General features: G+C 39.5%; 1 protein-coding gene across 6 annotated transcripts in view; it reads right to left on the reverse strand.

Annotated features, from left to right (window-relative positions):
• Positions 1-16,991, reverse strand: part of NIBAN1 (niban apoptosis regulator 1) — a 183,477-nt gene that overhangs the window by 95,542 nt on the left and 70,944 nt on the right. For all 6 annotated transcript variants that reach the window (XM_047444098.1, XM_047444102.1, NM_052966.4 and 3 more), the window contains exons 2-4: positions 12,606-12,736; positions 7,502-7,633; positions 3,535-3,649 (exon numbers count right to left, since the gene is read on the reverse strand). In XM_047444098.1, coding sequence (XP_047300054.1) covers positions 3,535-3,649; positions 7,502-7,633; positions 12,606-12,736 — 378 coding nt within the window. The remainder of the gene's footprint in view (positions 1-3,534; positions 3,650-7,501; positions 7,634-12,605; positions 12,737-16,991) is intronic.

Raw genomic sequence — 16,991 nt, forward strand, 5'->3', positions numbered from 1 at the left:
AACCCCTACCTAAACTTTACTCCTTTCCATGCATTCCTATTACATGATATTGCACTTGGTTAAATGAGTTCCAACTTTTTCCAGAGTCACAGAAAATAAGCAGAAGAAAATGTTAGTTCTGTGCTTCCTGCATATGTATTAAGCACCAATCTCAGGGAAAGGTAAGGAAGAAGGTCTCTCTAAGAGGCCATTGAAAGCACTGGGAATACAAGGAAATGAATCATGACCACATGGGAGTCTACAGAACCGCATCAGTTCTGGCAAATTAATAAATCAGGATTGCTCATGCCTGTAATCCCAGCACTTTGGGAGGCCAAGGAGGGTAGATCATGAGGTCAGGAGTTCAAGACCAGCCTGACCAACATAGTGAAAACCCATCTCTACTAAAAATACAAAAATTAGCCGGGAGTGGTGGCATGCACCTGTAATCCCAGCTATTCAGGAGGCTGAGGCAGGAGAATCACTTGAACCCGGGAGGCAGAGGTTGCAGTGAGCCGAGATCATGCCACTGCACTCCAGCCTGGGTGACAGAGCGAAACTCCATCTCAAAATCAATCAGTCAATCAATCAATCCGTATTGGTTTAAATAAAGAATAAATTTCTGGGGATATATGGGAGCCCTGTTCCAGTGTCCTGGAATCTGAAGGTAACAGAGGAGAATGCACCACCAGCACAAGCCATGGCCCACCAGGACCTAGCACAATGCTGGGAATGAATCAACATGAAAACGAGCAAATGAATGAATGATTGAATGCTATAGAGACACCTGTAGTTGTAACACAGTATCTATTTCCCTTTCTGGGGAGAATAAGGCCCCTGATTTTTAGTTGGGCAAGTGACTACATAAAATAAGACTACATTTCCAGCCTCCTTTGCAGCTTGGTGAGCCCACAGCTACTAAGATCTGTCCAGTAAGATATAAGCTGAAGTGGCATATGAAACTTCCTGGAGGTATCTCTAAAGAAAGTGAATGTACCCTCCTCCTTTCCTTTTCTCCTCCCTATTATCTGGAATGAGAATGCTATGGTAGGAGCTCAGCAGCCACCCTGGACCCTGCCAAAAGGGGCCACAACCTAGAAATAAAGGGGGAGAAAGCAAGAAAGAGCCTGAGCTTCAGACAAATTTAGTCCACACCAGCCCTGAACTAATATCGAAATATCTTTAGTGAGATAATAAAACTTTGAGTTTTTTATTGTATGCAGTAAATGAGATTCTAACCAGTAAAATGCCAAACAAGTGAATTACTTTAACAAAACACGGGGGCATTTTTTTCTGTATCAACTTAGCTGAACACTCTGTAAAGAATACACTTATTGGCCAGGCATGGTGGCTTATGCCTATAATCCCAGCACTTTGGGAGGCCAAGGCAGGAGGGTCACTTGAGCTCAGGAGTTGAAGACCAACTTGGGTAACAGAGTGAGACCATTGTCTCTGCAGTTCTTTGTTTGTTTTTTTGCTTGTTTTGTTTTTCTGGGCATAGTGGCATGTAGCTGTGGTCCCAGCAACTCGAGAGTCTGAGGTGGGAGGATTACTTGAGCCCAGGAGGTCGAGGCTACAGTGAGCCATGATCACATCACTGCATTCCAGCCTGGGCAACAGAGTGAGACTCTGTCTCAAAAGAAAAAAGAAAAAGAAATGCACTTATTCATAAGCCTCTAGTGCTTTTTCCAAGAAATGCACTTATTCATAAGCATCCCATCTTTATTATGCCTTTATTCTTTCTGGTAGAAATAATATCACAGAGTCAGTCTTCTTGACTGACATGGTTCTATCAAACAATCCTCCTTGCCCTCTCCAAGAATGTCATAATTTTGTACAAGCAACCAAAAGCAACATTGATCCTTTGCATTTAAAAAGCCTCAACAAACCCATAAAATTCATTCCTTTTAGCCTCTAGTTATCTCTCAACCTTTTACAACAATTTTCCAGATGCCATCAGTGAATTTTTTCTGAGTTACAAGAATATCACAACTGATCTACTGTAGAATATTCTATTTTAAAAGTCAGAAGGTCACAACACACAATTTTAAAAAGTCATTAAAATGCCCCAATCTGAAGCCTTGGGCCAACTGGGATTAATCACACAGGACTTGTGTTTTTTAGTCCTTTTCATTCCCTCCAATATGATTACAGCAATAAATCAATAAACATATTGTCTCTTCTGGCTGATTTCATTGGAAAGTTTTAGAGAGATTTGGATGAGTCAACATGTTGGTATTCCCATTTCTAGCTGCAGCTCCACTGCCAAGGGCATATAAGTAGATGTAAAAGAAAATATAATAATATGCATAGTGCACATAAAGTGTTGTTTTAGCATGAATTACTTAGTAATAATTTGTTAATCTTAGTTTATGGTCCATGTACCAATCCTGTAATTGTGTTATTAAAAACACTATGTTAAGCACTCAGCACCGAAATAACAATTGATAAAATGATTATGTTTTTCTCCATAAATTCTAATGAAATTATTATGTCCGTTAATAAGAACCAGGGCTCTCTTCAAGAACCAAGTAATTACTATGTAGTATGATTTATGCAAAGCCAAATGGAGTTATTACATTATCCACACTTCATGAATCTCTATGAATTGCCTTATTTAGTCTATATATTATCCATCATTTCTCCACATGTAAAAAGTGGAATGAATGAGAATCAAAGAAGGTTAGACCTAGAAAGACCCTTCTAGGTTTTTAAGTTCAAAGCCCTGTTTTTGAGTTGGAGAAACAGAAACCAGAGCTGTTCAGCAGCCGGCTAAGCTAAAGCATTTGGTAAGTGGCACAGCCAGAACTAGATAAAAATCCAATCTCCCAATTATCTTTCCATGGCAGCATCCCAGCTTTATTTATAGATATGCAAATTAATGCAATGCTTTTTTTTTTCACAGTAGCTATGAGTTACTGTAACACTTATTAAAAGGTTTTTTGTCTATTTAGGGTATTTAGTTGCATATCATCCTAAAATTAGAAAAATAGTATTCCCTGACAGGTCCAGGCTTGCTTACTAGAAGATGGGATTGTATATTTCATGGACTGGGCCCTACCTGTTTATTTCTGCTGCCTTGTGGAGTGCTATCAAAGCCTGCAATATATTCCAAAAGCTTCAAGATACCTGGCTGACAGCACATTTTCCATGTGCTAGAAACACAGAGACTGACTGTGTATTATTGAATGGGATTAGAAATAATGGAAGTGGTAAAATGTTTTCCTCAACTAGAGAAATCACATCTTCCACTTGTCTATGGGACATGAGTGACTAGCCCAGGGTTTCTCAACCTTGGCACTACTGATACTTTGTACCAGATAACTCTTCCTTGTTAGGGTCTGTCCTGTGCATGGTAGGATGTTTTGTAGCATCCCTGGCCTCTATTCACTAAATGCCATAGCACCCCGATTCCAATTGTGACAAACAAAAATGTCTCCAGATGCTGCCAAATGTCCCTGGAGGGAAATCCCTCTCCTTCACAGAGAAACACTGCTCCAGCTAAACAAAGAAGCTTAGTCATTTTGCCTTGGAAAAGAATGATCAGCAACTCACCAAGAGGGTCTGGGAAATGCCTGTCAGACAACAGATTATATTCATCTTCTGAGGTTAACACCTTGCCACCGGCTGGAAGAATTCGACATTTAGGAGCAGCTCCTCTCTGATAGGCCTGGGGAGGGAAAGGCACACAGGAATGATATCTTTTTCCCCATTTGATTTTTGGAAAATATCAGGGATATAACAAATAGACAGATTCAGACATTCAGAGATAGCAATCCCCATACTATGTTATTGAGTTATAGTCATTTACTCAAAAAATATGTTTTGAATACCTGCTAATGGCAAGGTAATATTTTAATACTTTCATGTGACAGTCACAACATGGTAAATCAGAGTCCCTAATCTCAGGGAGATTTACCCTAGGTATGTTCTCGAATGTGGAAAACATAATCTCAGTAACCCTGAAAGTCTGCACCACATTTGCCATTTCAGATGCTAACAACTAAATCATTCTGATAATAACCACAAAGGTGACGATCACACAAATACTGCACAGAATGCTTGGTGACTGATGTGGGCCACATAGGATGACTAATGAGACTGTGGAACACGTAGCTGCAATGATAGTTACCATGGATTTTCATCAAAACATGAAAATGTTGGCATAAAATATGCCACTATTTTGCCCTCAGATGTGAAACTGTTTTGCAGCAAAATGGTTGAGATGGAAGTACAGCACTGTGACATCAGAACAAATGCTGGCCAGCAGACAAGAAGCTCTGCTATTTGAGACACAGAAAAGAGGCACAGGGCATTGCCAAAGCAGTTTGGTAAGCACCTATGCCCACAAGGACATGCAGATAAGATAACATTTAAGTATGTGCATCTGACGGGAGGGCTTAAGTCAAGGCAAAATTCTGAAACTAGTAATCTAAAGGCAAGTTGAGAATTGAAACTAAGAAAGTTTGAGACCCAAAATCTAGAATTTACTCTTGGAAATGACTAAATAATGTTGATCTGACCAACATAATCAGAGTAACGATAACACGTTCTGCAGCAATAAGATAGTGAAGAGATCCAAATGAAACAAACTCTCAGATATCTAAATTACTTGTAACAACGACTAATCAACTGCTTAAGCATGTGAGGGAACCAGAATATACCCACTAACACAGAATTCTGGCAGCCTGACCTATTCATCCTAAGAAAGACGATTGGAGGACTCTTCTGAATAAATGATTAACCCAGGAAGGAGGATCTATACATAATTGAGGGCTCCCCATGAAATAATACCTTACAGCTCTAAGAACTCCCACAGAGCTACATTATAGTGAAACAATAATGTTGAGAGAAGAATCTAAACTTGTATGATATTAAGAAGATTTACAAGCAATTTGATTTAGACTGGACTCAAAAGTGAATTGTATTACTAGTTATAACAGGCCCCAATATTGGCTTTTATAAGCATTATACCACTTAATCCTCAAAACAGTACTATGCATTACATGTTATCTCCATTTTTCAAATGGGAAACATGAAGCTCAAAGAGACTGAATAACTTGCCCATGGCCCAGCAGTGAGTAGGTGACACATCCAGGATTTATATTCATGCCTGTCCAGCCCCAGTGCACACAAAATAGAAACTGATTATCAAGTGAGAATGTTTTACTTTTCCTGTTTAATTGCCAGCCAGAATTGGACTCTAAATAAAATAATAGATGACTTACAGGTACTTAATGCATAATTCTTAGATATAATTTTATAAGATACTTCCATAAATTAAAAAAAGAAGATATTATTAAAACTTCAAGAAATTATGACAAACTGCGTGGACTTTAAAAGAATTCCAAGTTTCAAAAAACACTTGGTTATTACCAAATTAAGTCACCATATCTTAACAATTTGAACAGGTTCAGTTAAAAACGATGAACAAAGAAAAAGCAGTGCAATGTACAAACTGCAAGCTGAGAGAGCAAGCTGAAATAAGTGAAAAGAGGAAAAACACCAACATTTGATTCAAAATGAAACCTCAGTTAGTGTTAAATGCAGTGAAAAACTTTAATAAATCCAAGAACAAGATCTAGGGCTGTTTCTTCCCAATGGGTTAGTAGTAATCATACCAGCAACTGCTCCACACCCAGCTCTAGCTTTACCACAGGCCCAGCCATATGCTAAATGCTTCCGTACATTCATTCACTTACTCCTCTCAACACCATGGCAAAGAAATCACGCAGATCTCATTTTACAGATGAGAAAACTGAGGCTCAAGATTTATAGCTTAGGCAAGGGCGCCTATCTAGTAAGTGGTAAAGGTATGAGTCAAAGCCCATAGTATGAACCATATTATGCTACACTGTCCCTCCTCAAGCTCCTCTGAAAGGACGTTGTAATGAGTCATACAAAACATAAGGTGTCTTGTTATTATCATCACTATTTGTAGTGTATTGATACTTTGTTGCTGAGTACAAATTAAGTGTTGAATAAAATCCTAATATTGATAAGCAGAGAAAATATTAGCTTAATAAATGTTGAAAAGAGTAAGTCTACCCAAGAGAGCACTTGAGCTTTGCCTGGTAGCCTGTGAAATAAGTTTGTAGTATATTTTATTTCTATTTTCCATCAGAAATGGGAAGGAAACAGATTGGTCTGTCAGTCTGAAGCCTCTTCCTAGCATCAGGTGTAGTCCTCACAGTGCTCTGTGAAGACTATCTTGACTACTCTTTTTTTATTTTTTTTGAGATAGAGTCTCACTCTGTCACCCAGGCTGGAGTGCATTGGGGTGATCTCAGCTCACTGCAACCTCAACCTCCCGAGTTCAAGTGATTCTCCTGCCTCACCCTCTTGAGTATCTGAGACTACAGGCATGCACCAGCATGCCCAGCTAATTTTTGTATTTTTAGTAGAGATGAGGTTTCATCATGTTGGCCATGCTGGTCTCTAACTCCTGACCTCGGGTGATCCACCTGCCTTGGCCTCCCAAAGTGCTGGGATTACAGGCATGAGCTACTGCACCTCGCCATCTTGACTATTCTTGAGCTTAGAGGCCAGAGAGCAGAGTTTTAAATCTGTTACTGTCGTTCACTGATAAATAGTAGCTGTTCATTTCAAAGGGAGCTTGAGGGTCTATGCAGACTAAAAAATGTGTACAGTATGAGATCTGGGAGGATAGTGGGATCATTTGACCTAACTGTTTAGCTTAATTGAGGACTGAAGGCAAGAAGTCACTTGTCAACAGGTTCATTTCTAGTTAATGGCACAACTTGACCTAACCTTTAGTTTGCCAAATTCACTGCCTGCTATTCTTTCCCCTATACCACACTACCTTCCTACATAAGGAAAGAAATGGGAACCAATAAAAACTAAAGTCCTCCCAGGGGCTGAATGCTTTACACCCATTATCTCACTTTCTCCACATTTTACAGACAAGGAAAATAGTGAAATAACCAGAAAAAAGTTAAATGAAAAAAAAATACCTCCATGGAAATAAAGTATGTGAGGCATTCTGAATTCCTAGGAACCCAGGAAAACCCAGGCAGATTCAAATTTAATAGCAACCTATGAAATAACTCCTGAGCCACCTGTCATGCACAGGGCTTCAGAGTGGGAAGACAGAGACATAGAGCAGAGATGTCAGGATGGTGGCTGAGAAAGACCTCAAGGCTGAATGATCATAGGAAAGGCTCCCATGCCAAATACTGGTCCTTCTGTCTTCATACTCACTTGCAATCACTTGTTCAAAGTCTATCTTGCCACTAGACGGCAAGCATCTGTCTTATCAACTGCTGTATACCCAGAACCTTGTATAACACTTGGTATGCAGTAGGCATTCAATCAGTATCTGTTAGCTGAAATAGATACCTACATGAATGAGTGCTTATTGAATGAATCAGTCTCTATTTTTGTACCAGTACCATGCTGATTTTGTTAGTATAGCCTTGTAGGAAGGAGAGGGCACACCAATCAACCGAGCCAAACTTTTAAGAACAGTGTAAGAATCAGTAGTAACAAAGAAGTGTCTTACCTCTTTATTCTCATAGCTCTCCACAGCATAATCATTTTTAACTACAACGTATCTCTCCTTCCACTTCTTTATGTCTTCAGAAAATTGTGATAGCTCTGCTTCATACAAAATAGTTCCAGGCGCCAATGGTGGCTTAAAGAAGATGAATACAATTAACTATCACAACAAAAGATAACACACCTTGTTACCACAAAGTTATCCATGCTATTTCAAGGAATAGTTTAGGAAACTATCTTCCACTGAGATCCTGGGGAAACTGTTGCTTCCTCCTCTCCCCCCACAATTTCCCTTTCCTACTCCACTTGACCCAATGTAAATATTTGTCTTATTGGTATTTTTATGATTTTCATTTCCCTCTATTATGCTATAGGAACAGAAGCATATGGTAGAAGGAATTATAGTAATAAGGTTATTATGCCTTGCATGCATGTGGCACTCAATAAATGCTTGATAAACTCTATGGGAGAGAGGGAGTGAGGCAGGAAAGTGTAAGTGTGGATACCTACCTGGACACCCTGAACATGACTCAGGGTTAATCCCCGCAAAGCGGGAGAATTAACAGACCGTTCCCCTATCCATTACACCTGCCGATGCTGCCTCCAATTCTCAATGGTTTTCCTAAACCCAAAGCCATGGGGACCCCTCTCCATGCTACTCAAGGAGATCATGTTTGCTATTTGGTTAAAGAACAAGCAGGTATCAAGCCAGAACACCTGAGTTCCACCGCTTCTACTGAAAAGTTTGAGGATTTCTTATTAACTGTGGTGATATATGTGCTGTGCGGGCATTTCCATTAGATTCCTAGTTACATCTTCCATTGGATTAACTGTGTAAGGATAATTCCCATCCGGCTTCATTGTGTAATTTTCATATTATTTCAAAATATACAAATGGGCCTCTTTTCTTTTACATGTCACTGAGTTTACATCTATTTTCCCTTTATTAAAAAATCATAGTGCCTTCAGAAACTTACCCCTCTACTTTCAAGTAAAATTTTAAATGAGCTATACAGAAAAAAAATAGATATGCCAATCTCTTTTAAGAATAATCTAAGGGATGAAACAAATTCCCTTCCAAATTCCAGTGCTTAATGAGGCAAGATAGGAGACAGATAATGCGGCAGTCCCCTATCTTGCCTCATTAAAAGGTAAGAGAGAATCTCTTCTCTTTAAATGAAACTGAAACCATGGCATAAGCTGAACTTCATAGTTCTTATGTGCAGCTTTTCTTAAAACCTGGACCACTTAATCAACTGATAAGCTTGTTAAAAATGGGGCCTCACGATAGACTTACTATATCAGAATCTCTGGAGCTGTGGGCCATAATGTGCATTTTAACAAGCTCCCTAAATTTTGAGATCACTGTTTTATGAGGGAAAGCAATCACTTATCCCTATGTACTCATGCTGCTAAATATATTGGTTAACTTCTCAGCATTATGTGACTCACTTATCACTTATTCTCTCTTGAAACCCCTTCTTTTTTATTTTTAGTTTTTTAAATTTTATATTCAAGGGGTACGTGTGTTTCTTACATGGGTATTACGTGTAACGGTGGGGACTGGGCTCCTAGTGTACCCATTACCCAAATCTTGAGCATTGTACCCAATAGGTAATTTTTCAACCCTTACTCCCCTCCCACCTTCCCCACTTTTGGAGTCTCCAGAGTCTATTCTCTCCATCTTTATGTCCATGTGTACCCATTATTTAGCTCCTGCTTATAACTGAAAACATGTGGTATTTGATTTTCTGTTTCTGAGTTAGTTCACTTAGGATAATGGCCTCCAGCTCCATCCATGTTGTTGCAAAGGGTATGATTTTGTTCTTTTTTATGACTGTGTAGCATCCTGTGGTGTATATATACCACATTTTTTTTATCCAATCAACCGCTGGTGCACACTTAGGTTGGTTCCATGGCTTTGCTATTAAAAATAGTGCTGTGATAAACACACACATACAGGAGTCTTTTTATATAATGATTTATTTTCCTTTGGGTAGATACCCAGTAGTAGGATTGCTGAGTCGAATGATAGTTCTTTTTTAGTTATTTGTGATATCTCCATACTATTTTCCGTAGGGGTTGAACTAATTTACATTCCCACTAACAGTGTATGAGCATTTCCTTTTCTCCACATCCACATCATCTGTTATTTTTTGACTTTTTAATGACATTCATTCTTACTGCTGTAAGATGATATCTTGGTGTGGTTTTAATATACATTTCTCTGATGATTGGTGATATTGAGCATATTTTCATGTGTTTGTTGTCCACTTGTATGTCTTCTTTTGAGAAATGTCTGTTCATGTCCTTTGCCCAGTTTTTAATGGGGTTGTTTTTTCTTGTTGAGTTTCTTGTAGATTCTGGATATTAGTCCTTTGTTAGGGGCATAATTTGCAAATATTTCTCCCATTTTGTAGGTTATCTGTTTATTTTGTTGACTATTTCTTTTTTGTGTATAGGCTTTTTAGCATAACTAAGTCCCATTTCTCTATTTTTGTTTTTGTTGCATTTGTTTTTGGGGTCTTCATCACAAATTCTTTTCCTGGGCAAATGTCCAGAAGAGTTTTTCCTAAGTTTTCTTTTAAGATTTCTATAGTTTCAGGACTTACACTTAGGTTTTTAATCCATCTGAAGTTAATTTTTGTATATAATGAGAGATAGGGGTCCAGTTTCATTCTTCTGCATATGACTAGCCAGTTTTCTCAGCACCTTTTATTGAATGGGGTATCCTTTCTTCATTATTTATTTTTGTTGATTTTATCAAAGATCAGTTGGTTGTAGGTATGTGGCTTTATTTCTGGGTTCTCCATTCTGTTCCATTGGTCTATGTGTCTATTTTTGTACCAGTACCATGCTGATTTAGTTAGTATAGCCTTGTAGTATAATTTGAAGTCAGGCAATGTGATGTCTCCAGATTTGTTCCCTTGCTTGGGCGTGCTTTGGCTATTCAGGCTTTTATTTGTTCCCTATGAACTTTAGGATTAATTTTTCTAATTTTGTGTAAGATGACATTGGTAATTTGATAGCAATTGAATTGGAGCTGTATATTGCTTTGGGGAACATGGTCATTTTAATGATAGTGATTTTTCCAATCTGTGAGCATGGGATGTGTTTCCATTAGTTTGTGTTGCCTACAATTTCTTTCATCCGTGTTTTGTAGTCCTTGTAGAGATCTTTCATCTCCTTGGTTAAATGTACTCCTAAGTGTGTGTGTGTGTGTGTGTGTGTGTGTGTGTGTGTGTGTGGTGGGTGGGGGTGGCTATTATAAATGGGATTGAGTTCTTAATTTTGAAACCCCTTTTTTATTTGCCTTCTGGGACATTATGCTTTTCTGATTTTTCTCCTACTCCATAGACCGTTTCTTCTTAGTCCATTTTGCTGGATCCTTCTCCTTTTTCTGATCTCCAAATGCTGAAGGGGCCAGTGTACTGTTTCTTTTCTCTGTCTATAGTCTTTCCCTGTTTTATGGCCCATGGCCTTAATACTAGTTATAAGCTAACATCTTCCAAATTTCTATTCTCCAGGCTCAATCACTCTGCTGAGCTCCAAATGAAAACATCTAATGGCCTATTCAACATTTCCACACTAGCATCTCAAACTTAACATGGCCAAAAGGGAACTCGTGATCCCATTCACTCCGACTCTTCCTTCTAAGTAAAAGGCAACTCCATCCACTTATTTGCTCTGGTTAAAAACCAAGAAGTCATCACTGATTTCTCTCTTCTTCTATTATCTCACACCCAACCCAACAGTATGTTCTGTCAGCTCTATCATAAGCACCTCTCCTCACAACCATGACCATCACCACCCCAGTCCAATTTGGCATCATTCTTCCCTCAGATGCTACAGTATCCTGCTCCCCAGTTTCCATTCTCCCCTCTCGCCCCATAGTCTATTCTTTACACAGAGGCCAGACAGATCATCTAAAATTATATGCCACTCTGTATTCAATACCCTCCAGTGGGAGACTTCCCATTACAAAACAAAATCAAAACCCTGTTGTGACCCACAGGTTGACATGATGTGCTCCCGATCTGTCTCTCTGCTGTCATTGTTCCTCCCTCCTCCCTTGCTCACAGTGCTCCCAGCAGACCGACCTTCCCTCTGTGTGGCAGGGTCTTCACACTTGCTGTTCCATAGACCTGGAATACTCTTCCCACGAATATTCACACAGCCTACTCTCATTGCACTCCAGTTTCTGCTTAAATGTTATCTCCACAGAGGGCTTCCCTAACCATCTTCTCTAAAATAAGGCTCTAGGCTGGGCGTGGTGGCTCACACCTGTAATCCCAGCACTTTGGGAGGCCGAGGCAGGTGGATCACTTGAGGTCAGGAGTTCAAGACCAGCCTGGCCAACATGGTGAATATCCTGTCTCTACTAAAAATACAAAAATTAGCTGGGTGTGGTGGTGCGCACCTGTAATCCCAGCCACTCAGGAGGCTGAGGCAGGAGAATCACTTGAACCCAGGAAGCAGAGGTTGCAGTGAGCCGCGATTGTATCACTGCACTCCAGCCTGAACCACAGAGCACGACTCTATCTCAAAAATAAAATAAGACTCGCTTTATTTCTTTTTAGCATTTATTATTATCTGATGTCACCTGATATTAATTTGTTTATTACCCGTTTCCTGTGTGTGAATATAAACTCCAGGAAGGCAGAGAACTTGTCTTAATTCCCCAGTTCTTGGACTATAGCCTAGCACATAGTAGGTGCTAACAAACATTTGTCGAGGTGGTGGTTACTTATTATAATGGAGCAAAGGAGTAAGAATAAATTAGGGGATTCAAAGAGAAAATCATATTTGATCAATGACCAAAACTTCACTACAGAAAGTCAAATTTTCTTAGACAAACAAAGCATCCATGTGGGAAAAATACATAACAATATTGGATTCAAGCTAATTTCCTTTTTCTATGGATTATATCAGCAACAAGAAATCATACATTCTAACTTCCAGGCAAATAGAGTTTTTTGAGCATGAAACGACTTCAGAGCAGAGTTTTTAAAACTGCCATTCAAATTATTGTTTATTTCAGAAATACGGCTGTGCTATATAGCCTTCTTCAAGGGGAAATACATGTAAACCAAATATCCATGGCTTACCTTGGTCTTCAAAAACTGTGACGTTAAATCTCTTTGCTGTTCTACTTCAGTGCGCACGTGATTGCAGAAAGCCACAGAGTACTGACGACTGTAGTAGGGACTGAAGTTTTTGATGGCAGCCTCAGTTTTCCCTAGAAAAATATGAAAATTAGAATTCTTAAGTATAGCACAGAATATACACCTATCTACAGAGTTCCAAAAACCATCCCTCCAGTCTCTCTGTTTCTATCCCTCCAGTCACCCCTGTTTCTATCCCTCCAGTCACCCCTGTTTCCCAGATATTTGCCAGTAGTCTGTCTTCCCGGAGAACTTTGCTACCTGCTGCACATGCCCCATCTCTCCCTCTCCTTCTGGCATCATCCTGAGAGGCTTCACAGACCCTAAGGACTAAATTGACCCTAAGGACTAAATCCCGTAACCTATTGAGTTTTGCTTTATTTTCTATCAATAGACTATCGCCATGACCATAAACTCAACCATCCTTCTAATCCTCCTAAGACTGTTCTTCTACCTCGCCCTCTCTCCACTTCTACTTGTTCTTTATTCTCCTCGACCTCCAGTCATTCAGCTCCTCCCTCCAAATGATAATCCCAGGTCTATGCCTTCAATTCTGCAAGCACATCACTCTCTTTTTTTTTTTTTTTTTTTTTTTCTTGAGACAGAGTGTCCATCTTGCTGCCCAGGCTGGAGTGCAATGGCACAATCTTGGCTCACCACAACTTTCACCTCCCGGGTTCAAGCGATTCTCCCGCCTCAGCCTCCTGAGTAGCTGGGATTACATGTATGTGCCACCATGCTCAGCTAATTTTGTATTTTTAGTAGAGATGGGGTTTCTCCATGTTGGTCAGGCTGGTCTCGAACTCCCAACCTCAGATGATCTGCCCGCCTCGGCCTCCCAAAGTGCTGGGATTATAGGCGTGAGCCACCACACCTGGCCATCACTCCCTTTTTCTTCAGATCCCTGAGGCTCCACCTCTAGTCTTGTGACTCACAGTCCTGGATAAAATCAACAAGTGTTTCCTCTCACTCTGCTCCAATATTTCTGGTTTAAAATTTTTGTGTGTGATTCAAAGCAGTATATAACCACCACGAGACAGAGGGGGAAACTTTGGTTTAAGAGCCTAGAGACCTGAGCTCTGGTCTCGATTCTGTGAGGCAGAAACCAGCTGTACAACCTCAGTCAAGTCATTCGACTCTCAAGGCTCCAGAATCCTAACTATAAAGGAAGGTGCTCACTAGTCTACACATTTCTTTGGATCTGCATGCCATTGAAATATAAGTACAGTACGAAAGTCCAGCTGCCTCACAATGACCAGAAACTGCAATATATTAAATAGTCTCTCAGCACCGAAAGTAAATCAAACTGAGTATGAACCATGTGGGGGAAGCTTGAGGACTTGAGATGGAGGGACAGGGAGAGTCAGACACCTGAAACATTCTTGCCTTTCCAATCTGTGCTTAGCTTTAGAGAGTATGGAAATTGCAAAGGAGGGAAGAGAGAAGGAGGAATAGAGGGGAAAGGGTGGGTGTAGGAGCATTCTCATGCAGATTAGAAACCCTTACAACATTTCAACTACTTGCTGCAGGGTACAGAAAGAAACACAGGCTTCACTGATTGTGCTCGTAAGCGATGAGTCCGCAGAACAGGGTACAGCTTGAGGAAAAATAAACTTGCTGTAATATTCCAAAATATTTTAAAGTACTTTCATATGAACTTGACATCATTTTTGCTTTTAAAATTTGATATTATAGTCAATAAAGAGATATTAAAATATACTGGCAAGATTTGTTTAGAGCTATCATGTGGGTTAAATTTCAAAAATAAGTGAAGAGTTCTAACTACATAGATTGAGGTACTCAATAGGAAAGCCTTGAATCCATAGCAACCCGTTTCTAAGCCTATAGAACCATAGCCAAAAACACCCATAATGTATGAATACTCTCCATATGCAGAGAATCCTACTTTTGTTTGGGAATTTAGGTCTTATACTATAAATGAGGTAAAGAGGAATTCTTTCATATTCACTTCATAACATGGCATTTACTGGTCATGTGAGCTTTAATAATTATTACTTGTAAGGTGCTTTGAGACCCACTAATAATAGATTCTGTAGAAATGCAAATAAAAGCTCCTATAATTTGAATCAGGCATGCTTTTGCTTGCTCTGTGCATTTATGGTATTACTATTAATCAGTATTTGCATAATACTTTAATATACTCAGGCTTTATAATCATCTAATTGGTTATTATGCTATCAGCTTTTATGCAGTGTAATTCTCTATGCTTGTCTATAATTTTCTTACATAGGAGTGGGACAGTGTGGGAATTCCCACAATGAGAACGAATCTCACTTTACTAAAACATATAAATGATGAACAAAATTTGCCCTTTAGGTCCAAGTAGCCACTGTTTGGTCTATCAGAAAAGCAGCCTGTTAATTTCTAATGTTTATTTTTGTACTCTTGAAAGCACTTGGATTGAAATGAAAGGAGGTGAATGTCATTTTATGATGAACTCTATAAAGCTTTGAAAGCTGATTTTCTGCCACATCACCAAGCCTCCCCAGGGACGCCCTGCTTCTGGTGAGGTGCCATAATGCTCTCTTCTGATATATGAGAAAAATGCTTCTGTAATTTGAATATCTGCATACTGTCCCATTAACACATCATCCACCAGGTAGCGCTTATAAAGAAGCAATTGCAGCTTCTTTAGGTAATTAATCTAATAACTAGTTCAAACTATGTATGATATAGCTAACAATATCATATGTTCTGGGGTGGGGGGAACCTAAAGTTATTTGGCAAGTGTATCTGGACTTTAGATTAAGCCTATCTAAATCCAAATAAATAAGTACCCAATGTAGGGATCCTAAGACTGAGAGCAAAGTCTGGTGTTGAGGCAGGGGACGGTCTGGCTTGGTGGCTCTTGCTTGTAAGCTAGCACTTTGGGAAGCTGAGGCAGGAACATTGCTTGAAGCCAGGAGTTTGAGGTTGTGATGAGCTATGATTGCACCACTGTACTCCAGCCTGGGAAACAGAGCAAGACCCCACCTCTAATTTAAAAAAAAATAGTCTGATGTTGGAGCAAAATACCACTGTGGTTAGGAATCAGACAGGTTCAAATCCCATCTCTACTACTTGCCAGCTGTGAGATCTCATGTGAGTTACTTCTTTCTGCTCACATGTTAAATGAAGAAAACAAGAGTAGCAGCCTCATAAGGTTATTCTAATGATTCCATGAACTAATGCAGTAAAGTGCTCAGCATGATAGCTGGCACATAGAAAATGTTCCATAATTGATCATAATTAAAATGATGATGATAATGGTGATGTGGGTGTCCCTTAGGCAAGCACCAGGATAAAGTCCTCAAGCTGAACTAAGGAATTAAGGAGAAGAAAAAAGCCGGCTGTTTACTGTAACTCTTGCACTAGGGCCATCCTGCCCTGCTGTATACAGAAGAGCTGCCCCACCCATTGCAGGCTCCAAACAAATACAACCTACATTTTCACAAAGGTTCAGCATAGAAGACCCTCAGTGCATTCCTGAATTAAAACCAACTAAATAAAACATCAACATTAATGAACTGAAGAAAAAGTGTAAGTTAGGGGCTGTGTTTCATTGAGCTTCTCTCTCTGAGCCTCAATTTTCTCACCTGCAAAATGAGGATAATAAGATGCCCATATCACAGGGTTTCATGAGGAGCAAATAAAATATTCTGTATATTGAAAACTATCTAGGACAGTGCCTGACACATATTAGTTGATCAATCAATTTTGACTATTTAATATTCCACAATGAAAACATTCAAACAAGTGATCAGCCCACAGGGGCCACACAAAATAACCTCAGCTGAAACTACATTATTCATCACCGTTTTCAAGATTCTTGAGCACTGAATTCCTTTCATATCCCTGTCACCAAATTTAGTATCACATTCTCTTTCCTAAATTGTTTATAAAACACAGTGCCAGGTCTTATACTGAAAGGAGATTACTCAATAATGGAAGGACTAAAAGCAATGGAAGGGATTCTTCCACATTTTGATATACCACCATTTTTGGCACAGGTATGTATCTCTAATCCTACTTGTTTATTACAGCTTGTGCTGGGCATTGCGTTAGTACAATTCACTTGACCCTAAGCTGCTCATAACACCCTTCAAGGTAATCATCACTGATGCTAAAAGAAGCCACTTGATATAGTTTGGATCTTTTGTCCCCTGCAAATCTCATGTTGAGATGTAATCCCCAATGTTGGAGGTGTGGCCTGGTGGGAGGTGTTTGGGTCATGGGGGCGGATCTCTCATTAATGGCTTAGTGCCATCCCCTTGGGATAGGTGTGTTCTTGTTCCCTTAGTTCACATGAGAGCTGGTTGTTTGAAGGGA

The sequence above is a fragment of the Homo sapiens genome, chromosome 1 (genome assembly GCF_000001405.40).
Source record: "Homo sapiens chromosome 1, GRCh38.p14 Primary Assembly".
NCBI lineage: Eukaryota > Metazoa > Chordata > Mammalia > Primates > Hominidae > Homo > Homo sapiens.